This window comes from Homo sapiens, chromosome X, assembly GCF_000001405.40.
Source record: "Homo sapiens chromosome X, GRCh38.p14 Primary Assembly".
Taxonomy (NCBI): Eukaryota; Metazoa; Chordata; class Mammalia; order Primates; family Hominidae; genus Homo; species Homo sapiens.
In genome coordinates this window covers 32,475,613-32,487,923 of record NC_000023.11, presented here as the reverse complement: position 1 = coordinate 32,487,923, position 12,311 = coordinate 32,475,613, and the positions used below count along the sequence as shown (strand labels likewise).

The following is a 12,311-nucleotide window of genomic DNA, read 5'->3' as shown; positions in this document are numbered from 1 at the left end:
ATATATTTCTGTACTATAAATACAGAATATTACCCTTTACCTCTTGTCTTATTTCTTATCCATGGATATATACCAACTTTCTAGCACTGGTTTGAGAGGATTTATATTTGAAAGAGAAATATAGGTCACCTTCCATTTTGCTAAACGTCTTTAATCTTCACCCACCAAAACGATTGAATCGTCAGAGATTATTTTACCTGAATCAGCTCATACCATTATAACCACATAAACACATTCCTCTGAAAGCTGTATTTATGTTTTTTTAATGAGAATAAGTGGCATTGTACATTAGTCTTGCAACCATGACAGAATTTATGTGATAAATTTCTCAGCCTCTCCTAATACAAAAGTTACTCTCTCCCAAAGAGTATGAATGCCTCCATAAATATTAACTTTTTTTTTGCCTTTTCACTTTGATTTTCAGGAAGCTCAGATTTCAATTCGTTCAGAATTGGTATAATTCTTTCCATTTTCTCTTTCTTCTAATGGGCTCATGTTCCAATTTTTAAATTTCAATTTTCCTGTTGTTACATATTAAATAGTAACTAACCCTCAAGTATTTTTTTCTAAAGACAGCATATATATGAATTGTAAGTAAGCAGCCATGATAATAACACTTTTAAAAAGGGCAGTGAAAACTTTGAGTTCAAATTATATATGTATTAAATACGAAACAATTCCAACTTCACTGGAAACAAGAACATGAAAACATTTATGTAGAGAATAGCATGCCCTTCGCCCACTTTTTGATGGGGTTGTTTGTTTTTTTCTTGTAAATTTTTTTGAGTTCGTTGTAGATTCTGGATATTAGCCCTTTGTCAGATGAGTAGGTTGCAAAAATTTTCTCCCATTTTGTAGGTTGCCTGTTCACTCTGATGGTAGTTTCTTTTGCTGTGCAGAAGCTCTTTAGTTTAATTAGATCCCATTTGTCAATTTGTCTTTTGTTGCCATTGCTTTTGGTGTTTTGGACATGAAGTCCTTGCCCATGCCTATGCCCTGAATGGTATTGCCTAGGTTTTCTTCTAGGGTTTTTATGGTTTTAGGTCTAACGTTTAAATCTTTAATCCATCTTGAATTGATTTTTGTATAAGTTGTAAGGAAGGGATCCAGTTTCAGCTTTCTACATATGGCTAGCCAGTTTTCCCAGCACCATTTATTAAATAGGGAATCCTTTCCCCATTGCTTGTTTTTGTCAGGTTTGTCAAAGATCAGATAGTTGTAGGTATGCGGCGTTATTTCTGAGGGCTCTGTTCTGTTCCATTGATCTATATCTCTGTTTTGGTACCAGTACCATGCTGTTTTGGTTACTGTAGCCTTGTAGTATAGTTTGAAGTCAGGTAGTGTGATGCCTCCAGCTTTGTCCTGTTGGCTTAGGATTGACTTGGCGATGCGGGCTCTTTTTTGGTTCCATATGAACTTTAAAGTAGTTTTTTCCAATTCTGTGAAGAAAGTCATTGTCCAAAAGAAATACAGTGCTAGCCACAAATTCAAGCCACATATGTAATTTAAAATGGTCTAGAAACTATATTAGGAAAGGAAAAAGAAACGGTAATTGAATTTCAATAGTACATTTTATTTAACCTGATTCATCAAAAATATTATTTGAAAGTGTAATCAGTATTTAAAAACTTTGAGATTATGTTCTTAGCTTTTCTTAATCTTCAGAATTAAACATATTTTGGTAATTTCATGCATCTAAATTTGGACCAGCCACATTTCAGGTGCCCAGTTGCCACATGAGCTAGTGACAGTACAGCAGTGTTCATGTGATTTTATCATACAAACCAGGGTACTACTGAGAGTGAAACAGGGTGCTACTAATAATTATGCCAGGACAACAAGAGGAAACCTGGACAGCCACCGTAATTTAAAAAGTGGCAATTGGCTGGGCGCGGTGGCTCACACCTGTAATCCCAGCACTTTGGGAGGCCAAGGTGGGTGGATCATGAGGTCAGCAGTTTGAGACCAGCCTGGCCAACAGTGAAACTCCATCTCTACTAAAAATAAAAAAAATTTGCTGGACACGGTAGCGGGCACCTGTAATCCCAGCTACTCAGGAGGCTGAGGCAGAAGAATCGCTTGAACCTGGAATGTGAAGGTTGCATTTGGCCAAGATCGCGTCATTGCACTCCAGCCTGGGCAACAAGAGCGAGACTCTGTCCCAAAAAAAAAAAAAAAAAAAAAAAAAAGCAGTGGTTGCCTGTTTGGTCAGGAGAAGTAATGAGACCATACAAAACATAGAAGATTATAGATATATTTTTATATTTGGGTGTGTACATACATATGTATAAGTATTATATAGATTTTATATGTGTGTATATAATCTATATAATTGTATCAAAATATATTTATAATTATAGTATACACATATACATATATGTAGGTATATATGTAATTTATATTTTGCAGAAATGAAAGAGAAAATATTGTTCATTGAGTGAGCTTAAAATTTGAAGCAAGCGCACATCATTTTGATATAAGAGGGGTGCAGCCAAACACCTATATTTGATTTATGGAAAGGATTTAAGGTCATGCATAGTATTTTTCCACTGTACGCATTCATACCCATTAATGCTCTAAATTATGTCATCTTGAAATTTAAATATCATTATATAGGATGATACATATTGAACAAAGAGCCAAGGTATCCTTAAATGTATGGCTGGTGATAGAGGCTTGTCTATACTGTCATGGATGTTTCTTATCAGATATTTGTGAAGGGTATTAAGCTAAACTTGCCTTACTGCTTTTTAATACCTTCTTTTGCAAAATGTAATGTATGCAAAGTAAACGTGTTACTTACTTTCCATACTCTATGGCACAGGATGAAGTCAACCGGCTATCAGATCTTCAACCTCAAATTGAACGATTAAAAATTCAAAGCATAGCCCTGAAAGAGAAAGGACAAGGACCCATGTTCCTGGATGCAGACTTTGTGGCCTTTACAAATCATTTTAAGCAAGTCTTTTCTGATGTGCAGGCCAGAGAGAAAGAGCTACAGACAAGTAAGTAAAAAGCCTAAAATGGCTAACTTGACATTTTCCAAAATGGTTATTTGTGGGGAAATCCAGAAGGTACTAACATGAAACAATAATTTCTGTAAATGGAACCATTCTCCCTACAACCTGTATTAACAAGGAACGAAATACTGGTGTAACAGATAAGCTGTCTGTAGATTTTTTTGTCCTCATAATAATTTTGTGACTTTGAGAAACAAAACATGTTTTGTATGGGAATAGCTTCTCCTTGGGGGATTGTAGATTTCAAAATCAGATGTTTTGAATATAGAAGAAAATAAAAGAGCAGTTGAGGTCATATGAATACACTTCAATTAAGTCTGGCTCGCTGTATATACAAGGATATTTGCTAGGCATCTTCTAATATTTCTGTCAATTTATCTGAAGAGTATTATAGCTTTAGCATACATGTGGCAACTGAAACTCAGCAAAGGACAAATTATTCTTTGGGCTACATTTTACTACTGGATCACTATAATTACATAAATCCTATTTTTTCCTTTGATGATAAAAGATAAAAGTGGAGCAATTATGCAAATTCATGCCATGCGACTAGCAAATTTTTCAAGATGTTTCTTTTGTCTCTTCCTGAATTGCTTTAATAAGATGATGTTAATACATAGTATCTGCTCCAAAATATCTCTACTCATCAACTTAGTTTTAAGACAAAAATTCTTTTCAGAGACAGATGAATGACCACCTTTAAGAAATAGTAAATGGGGTTTTGATTCACTATATACATGCATATATGTGTTCATGTGCACACAAAAGGAATTATTGAGTAAAATCGGGTTTGAAGGCATTAAGATAAAAGTATTTTTCTGAAAAAATCTCTGTCCCAAATTTGTCATGAGAAGCACAGGAACATGTGTTTGTTTACTACTAAAACTTAAATTAGTTGGAAAATATATTATCCTATTGCTTTTCTTTGTAAATATTTAAAGAATTCACCATATAATATCATTTCCAGAATTAATGTAGTGATACACAACGCTTTTCTCATTTCCCAGCTTTTCATTTTTTACAAAAATGAAATGAGCTAAATAAAGCAAAGGATAAATACTTTTTTTTTTTTTTTTTTTTTTTGTACTTCAGAGTCGTTTTTGCTAAGGGGTTTATTTTCCTGTACAGGTAGTAAAACTTTATAAATAGTATCAGCTCCCTCTAGTGGATTTCAGTATACTTGTTACTGTGCCTCTGCAAAATCAATTTGGGAAAATATTTTAAATGTCCTAGATTTTCAAATATTGACATATTTAACAATAATGTATTTTCACTTGTCATTACATACATAACTCCCCCTTAAAGTTAAATACATTTAGTGGCTATGCAGCAATTGTTGTGCAAAGGAGCCATTTCACTGGAAATTTACTTTAATCTGTATATACCTCTTAATCATATTAAAGTTCAACTTTTTATCATTTACTTTAAAGATGTTCAGAATAGCAATGTTTGATAACTGAGATTTGTCTATGATGTTACAATATAAATACGTAATAATATATAGTCTCTATTCATACAGCTCTCCATCCATCCATCCATCCCTATCATCTTTCTTCTCTTTTTTAAATTTCATACCTACAAACGATGATTGTTTATAAAACTTCCTAACTTTTTCACTGCTATTATATGTAAACAAATTGTCCCCACTTCCACTGTAGCTACACATCTTTAATTTTACTATTCACCCTTTTGGAATGCTTGTCTAGATTAATAAATAACCCTTTAATTAAATATGGTGTATATATATATATATATATGGAATGAAAAATGTAGCATATGAAATTACATAGCAGTTGATTTTGTTAATTTGAAATTAATTCAAATAATTGCACATGTGTATGCATTATATCCGAACTGGCACCAGGGAGTAAATCTCATTTCTTGTATTCCTCCACAGTACTTTGGACGTATTAAGTATGCAGGAAATAAGAGCTAACAGAAGTGCCTAGGCATCCATACTGACTTTTATTTCCTCTTTACTTTTTTAAACTTGCTTTTTCACACAAAAACCTGGCTTTTAAAATATACTATCAGTGTTGGAAAATGGCATAAGGAATTGGTAGTTGTTACCTGACATAAGTGATAGAAGAAAATAATATAAAAAGATAAAATTCTATTTTCAAAGCACTTTTTACTCTATGCATAACTAATTTATACATCATTTTACCTAACCCTCAGAGAGAAACACATTGAGTATTTGTTATTACAACTATATCACAAGTAAGCTAATGGGGTTTGAATAACTAAAAGCATGGATATGGGATGCTGTAAGAACTAGATCGTATACACGAATGTCCATAACAACATTATTCATAATAGCCAAAACGTAGAAGAAACCCACATGTCCATCCAGTGATGACTATATGAAGAAAATGGGCACATCCATACAAGGCAGTGTTACTGAGCAATAAAAAGGGAGAAAGTACTGATACATGCTACAGCATGGAGTACCCTTGAAGACATTATGCTGAGTGAAAGAAGCCAGTCACAAAAGATCATATGTTATATGAGTCTCTTGATATAAAATGGCCACAATAGGCAAATCTGTACAGGCAGAAATAAGATTAGTGGTTGCCTAGGTCTGGGAGGATGAGGGGGTGGAATTGTTTCCCATGACAGTTGATAAAATACTTTTCTAGAGACTGAAAACCAGTAAACTCATGTTATATGCTAGATGAATATAGAAACACAGCATCTAGTCTGTTGTAGATAATTGTTTCAACAAAGAAAAAAATGAAACCTTATTTCTTAATGTAAAGAAGGAAAAAGATTGGTCATATAATTTGAGTTTATTTCATTAACAATTTGGAAATCATGTTAAAATAATTATTAGGGATTTTATTGGTTTGGTTTAGTTTTGCAAAAATGGAGAAAGTGACATTATTAGTTATGACAAAGCCAGTGTTTTGACTGTTCTAAAGTTTCAAAATGATTCTCTTCTGTTCTACACCATTAGATTGCTTTCAGAACAGAGTCTTGCTCACTTTTTCACTAATAAATTCAAGAAATATTTTTGAACACCTGGTATATGCCGTAAAAGTGCTGGGCACTAGGTAATATACATGGTGGAGAAAATCAAGAGCAATATGTCTTCATGGAGCTTATTGAAAGAAAGATAATAAAATTGAATATCTGAATATTATTGCAGATTATAATTACTTTGGCGTCTGAAACCGTGATTCTGGGGAGATGATGTTAGAACCAAACCTGGAGAATGTGCAGGTGCCAGCTATATGATAAGTTGGAGAAAGGACATTAGGAGAAATGAAAAGAAACACAAATTGCCAAAGGTGAAGAATGAGGGCTTGGCATGTCCAGAAGACATAAGGGAGGCCAGAAAGGCTGGAATGTAACAAATCAATGAAAGATTAGGACAAGATGAGGGTAGAATTGCTCTTATAGAACTTCTATAACAGGTTTGGATTTTAAGAGCAGTAGACATTTCCGAAAGAATTTCAATTGAGGAAATTAAGTACCCTTAGTTGTATTTTTTCAAAACTCACCCTCTAGCTGGTATGTGAAGAAGAAATGCAATACAAGTCTGAGGAGAAGCAGGAAGACTTGTGGAAAGAATAGCCACACAGAGGAGAGTCCATTGAACCTTAAACTACAGTTGTGATAAGATAAAGAAAAATCATTTCAACCCTTGAAGAGGTGATGATCTGGGGAGGTGTAGCACAGAAGATATTCTTGCCAGAATTGAAAGAAAATAACTTTTACCTCTTACAGAGACAGTAGAAGAAAATTTTAAGGGTAGCCAGCAAGGATGCTCTCCATGGCCACAATTTCAAGCTCTATGGTTAGTCTCTACCCCTCCCTGTTAGGATGCTGAGACTGGGAATTAAAACAAAGTTTGATGTGAGGTAACTCTTCTAGCTGCAGTTCAGGAAATTGACCTAATTTACTTTATTAAAATTTTAAATTTTTTATTTTAAAATTTTATTTTTAATACATCTAGGCAAAGGAATGTTTTGTTCCAGTAGACACATAATCTGTTGCATTGCTCCTTCACTCCAGAAACTAGGTAAACTGTTTGTAAATGTTCCTTTTAAAAATTGTGTTATTTTTATCAATACCATCAAGAGCAAGCATAGCAGACATGTTTATTTAAGCAAGCTATGTGCTTATTGTGAGATAAAAGAATTGTTCCCTGACCTCAAGAATCATGGGAAAACTCGCTAAATGCCAAGTTAAAGCTATACATATATATATACACACGCTGTGTGTACATATACGTATATGTACACAAGTTGTGTGTGCATATACGTATGTACATATATACACATACTGTGTATGTACACACACAGACACATACTGTGTAAATACTCACGTAGGCAAATATTGTGTATATACACACGTAGACACATACTGTGTATATACACACGTAGACACATTCTGTGTATATAAACACGTAGACACATACTGTGTATGTACACACGTAGACACATACTGTGTATGTACACACATAGACACATACTGTGTATATACACATGTAGACATATACACACACACACACACACACACACACATTTATAAAATTTATGTGACAGGAACCTCATACTATTTTCCAAAATGGCTGTACTAATTTACATTCCCACCAACAATGTGTAAGTGTACTTTTCTCCACAGCCTCTCCAACATTTATCTTTCATCATTTTGAAAGTAGCCGTTCTAATTTTAACATGTGTAAGGTGACACATCATTGTGGTTTTCACATTTTTCTGATGTTTAGAGATGTTGAGCATTTTTTCACATATCTGTTGGCCATTGGTGCCTCTTATTGCGAGAAATGTCTGTTCATATCCCTTGCCCATTTTTAAATCAGGTTATTTGTTTTCTTGCTGTTGAGTTTTTTGAGGTTTCTATATATTTTGGATATTAACTCCTTACCAGATATTTGGTTTGCAAATATTTTCTCTTGATCTGTGAGCTGCCTCTTCACTCTGTTAATAGTTTCCTTTCCTGTGCAGGAGCTTTTTAGTTTGATGCAATCTAATTTGTCTATTTTTGCTTTTGTTGCCCATGCCATATCCATTTGAGCATTATTCATAACAGCCAAGATACGGAAACAACCTAAATGTCTATTACAGGACGAATGGATAAAGAAAATGTGATATATATAGTGATATATGCATAGTGGTAGATATATATAGTGATTTATATATACTGATATATAGAGATATATATACTGATATATATAGTGACATATATATATAGTGATAAATATATTCCAGTGTCTATATATGATATATATATGCAATGGAATACTATACAGTCTTTAAAAGGAAGGAATTTCTGTCATTTGCCACCATGTAGATAGAACTGGCGGACATTAGGCTAGCTGAAATGAGCCAGGCAAAGAAAGACAAATACTGTATGATCTCACTTATATGAGAAATCCAAAAAAAAGTCAAATTATAGAAACAGAAAATAGAAAGGTAGTTACCAGAGACTGGGGGGAAGAGGAAGGTTGGGAAAGGGAAGGTGTTGATCAAATGATAGAAAGTTTCAGTTAGACTGGAGGAATAAATTGTAGCGATCTCTAGTACTGCGTGGTGGACACAGTTAATAAAAATCTATGTTTCAAAATTGGTAAAAGAATAGATTTTAATATCCGCATCACAAAAAAAGATAAGTTGGTGAGGTGATTAATATGTTAATTAACCTGAGTGAATATTTTACAATGCATACATAGATCAAAACATCACATGATACCCCATAAATACACATAATTATTATTTGTTAGTTAAATATGAAATAGTTTAACATGATATTTTGAAAATAGGATTGCTAAGTGGATAGAGCTGCTTTTAGAAAAAGGGAAAATTCAGCAAAAGAAAAAAACTCTTAAATTCTAATAAATATTTCTGTAGTGTGGTAGTTTATACTTACACAAAGTTGGTCAGAAAAATGAGACTTACCTGGAAAATAAATCAGTTGTCCAGGAGGTGAATAATAGAGCAGTATTTATGAAAATGACCCCAATTTCAGTTGGTTCATTGGAGTTTTATGACTTATAAAACAAATTCTATGGTGATCTTAGATAAAATTCCTATAAACCCATCTATTTCACTCATGTCAGACCACACCAAGTGCCCTTTGTGAGAATGGAGCCTGAGCAGCAGCGACTTTCAGCAGAGCAAGTTGCATAAGCAAAAAGGCGTGAAGTAATTAAAAGGCATATTTTGACTGGAGGATAGAATATTGATTTTGATAGGAAATTGGGCTAAAATGTTGATTGAATTCCCAATCACAAAGATCCTTGTATTTCAAACTAAGGAAACAACTTATATATTGACATTAGAAATTCAAGTTATACTCAGACTTCCTTGCACTTGTAATTATCTGAAGGACCATTCCTAGTATGTTAATCATCATATATCATGCATGGGTCCTGTTGTATTTCTTGACACCTTTGTCAGTGTTCACATTTTAGAGAAATGCTTACTTTTGTCATGGTCTATGTTATTTAATAAAGTTTGGAGCCTTTGCTGATTGCATTATCTCCTTGACTTTAGATTGATCATGGGGAATGAGGAAAAAGGTGGGATCTGGTTGGCATGGAATTAAAGGCTCAAGTTGAGCATTTTGCCGAAGTAGGTATATGTCATTAGTTCAGCTTCTTCACACATGTGCAGTGCATTTTTTTCCCCACAGGTAATAATGGGGAATTCAAATTGGACTCGATTTCATATTCACAACAGGACTTCTAATGTTTTTAAATGCTGTCAATATTAAGACTACTAACATATCATCTCTTTCTCCCCCTAAATGGATTACATGGGTGCCTTTTCCAGCTTCTATCTAAGCACTATCCAACAGAAAAATAATGTGAGCCATATATTTAATTTTAAATGTTCTAGAAACCACATTAACAGATCAACAGGTAAAAGTCATTTGAAAATATTGTTTCATCTTAGAATTAAAATTTTAAAATGTGGAAATAGCTTTACATTCTTTTTGTATGAACTGTCCAATATCTGGTGTGTCTTTATATATACAAAACATCTCAACTCAAACTGGCCACGTTTCAAGTGCTTAACGGACGGGTAGCCAGTTGCTACCTTATTGGTTGGCACAGTTACGTCTTCCTTCTCTCTATTGTACATTCTCTGATGCTTAAGTGCCTATTTTCTGAGTAGTTCTATTTTTCAAGAGGAGAGATTTTTTTTTTCAGTAAAGTGTTATATATAACCGATTGCTCTGGTATCTCTTTATCTCGATAGTTATGTCTCTCAGAATTTTCAATATACTTCTCTGTTTACTTTGCTTTCCAGTTAAAGTGGTTTGCCCTTGACATAGACTCATGTGTATTAGAAAATGTAGCATCTAATTTCATACTTAGCTCTTTTGTTATCACAAAAGAATCTTGCTTTGCCTCTCTTGGTCTGTCCTTTGCTCTCCTTTTTTCTCTCTTCTTTTCCCTTTAGCCCCTCCCTCTTTTAAGAGTTAAAGACAAGCAGTTTTTAAACAAAAGGTGCAGAAAACTTCTTTTTTGTATTCCTTTACTATAATTTTAGATGTCAGTTTGCCTATACTTTATCACTTCCATCCCTCACATGGCTATATTAAATGTCTAGATATTAATGGAATTTTTTTTTTTACTTTTCAAGATAAACAGTAGTGCAGGATAGGAGCCCTTAATTTTTATTTTCCCAATAATTTACAGCACGTGCTTCCAAGCTTGCAATCACTTATATTGATTTTCATTTTGTTGAATATATTTCACTAATAAAACCAAAAAGATATCTGCATTTTTAAAGTGGTCCTTTAGCAGCCGAATAGTAGAAACTGTCATAGGAATACTTTCTTTAGAGAAAAAAGTTACATATTTATAAGCAATATATTGGCTAAACGTTAAATCTTCAGGCCATATTTTTCCTGAGTCTGTGCTGAGTCTAATGATGTCAGTAGAACTCTCGAGGTCTTTTAAGATGGTAGGTTATTAGATTGGATATGTTTATTGTCTTATTGCTGTCAGTAAAGATAAACTTATCTGTTGGATTATTAATCTCTATTTCTACATAAAAGGAAAAAAAGTGAGTTTCCGTAGATGGAGCTGGTCTATTTCTGCTCCTATGTTGGGATCACAAGGGCAGCATCTACAGATATCTCACCAGCTAGTAGGTGGGGCAGCTCATACTGTGTTTGCCCTTGGGTACATTAGCTTCTGTATAAGACTTTTTCTTTCTTCTTATCTGAAACAGATTTAGAATTCTTCACTGGCATTCCCTGGCCTGCATGGTTTAAATGAGATACTCTATACCGTTGCAAATTTGTCAAGCATTTCCTGAACCTTGATAGCAATTACTGCTGTCATTACATAGTGTCATTACATTCCACATAAGAAAATCAGAAAAAGAAATTGTGATATTTATGTTAGTAGGTGTGTATTTTTTTTTCCAGCTTGCCTCACAAACTATATTAGATGGACAAGTTCCCAAACCAATCTTTGGAAGTTTATTTCTTAAAGCTACAAAAGAATTTCCAAGAGATTAGATTTTTTGAAATGACCAGTTTCAAATGAATTTAATACAAAACTAGGATGAGGGTTGGAATGCAAGGAGGAATTAAAATATGCATGTTTTAATTATAGTTTACCAATATGAAGTGATTCCTGTGAGATTCAGTTGTTGGACAGATCAGAAGTTATACAGAAAAAGATCAATAATTCAGAGACTGAAGTGTTTCAGTTTTCATTAAACAGAAAGACCAGAAAGAAGTTAAAGAGGAGACATGTTCAAGTTCAATTAAACCAAATTTTATGAAGCTTATGATTCATCCAACATACCGCCATGTGTCTGCCCATAGTCCCCTCTCCTTCTAGATCATTTGCTGAAATGACATCTCAGACACAATCATTTGCTTCATTGTAACTAAATACCTCTTTACTTCACTGCTATTTATAAGGTCCCTTTTGGATTTTGTTTATTAATAATCATCTAGAATTCAAATAAATGCATATGCCACTCTTGCCACTCCTCTTCAGCATAGTACTAGAAGTCCTAGCCAGAGCAGTCAGACAAGAGAAAGAAATAAAGGGCATCCAAATCGGTAAAGAGGAAGTCAAACTGTCAGTGTTTGCCGACTATATGATCATTTACCTTCAAAACCCTAAGGATTCCTCCAGAAAGTTTCTAGAACTGATAAAATAATTCAGCAACATTTCCAGATACAAGATTAATGTACAAAAATCAGTAGCTCTTCTGTATACCAACAACGACCAAGCAGAGAATCAAATTAAGAACTCAACCCCTTTTACAATAGCTGCAAAAAATAAAATAAAATAAC

The 12,311-nt window shown here is 33.7% G+C and overlaps 1 protein-coding gene across 17 annotated transcripts in view; it reads left to right on the top strand.

Annotated features, from left to right (window-relative positions):
* The window catches only part of DMD (dystrophin), a 2,220,167-nt gene that overhangs the window by 851,465 nt on the left and 1,356,391 nt on the right, over positions 1–12,311 (top strand). For all 17 annotated transcript variants that reach the window (XM_006724469.4, NM_000109.4, XM_011545467.2 and 14 more), the window contains 1 exon segment: positions 2,825–3,005. In XM_006724469.4, the coding sequence (XP_006724532.1) occupies positions 2,825–3,005 (181 nt within the window).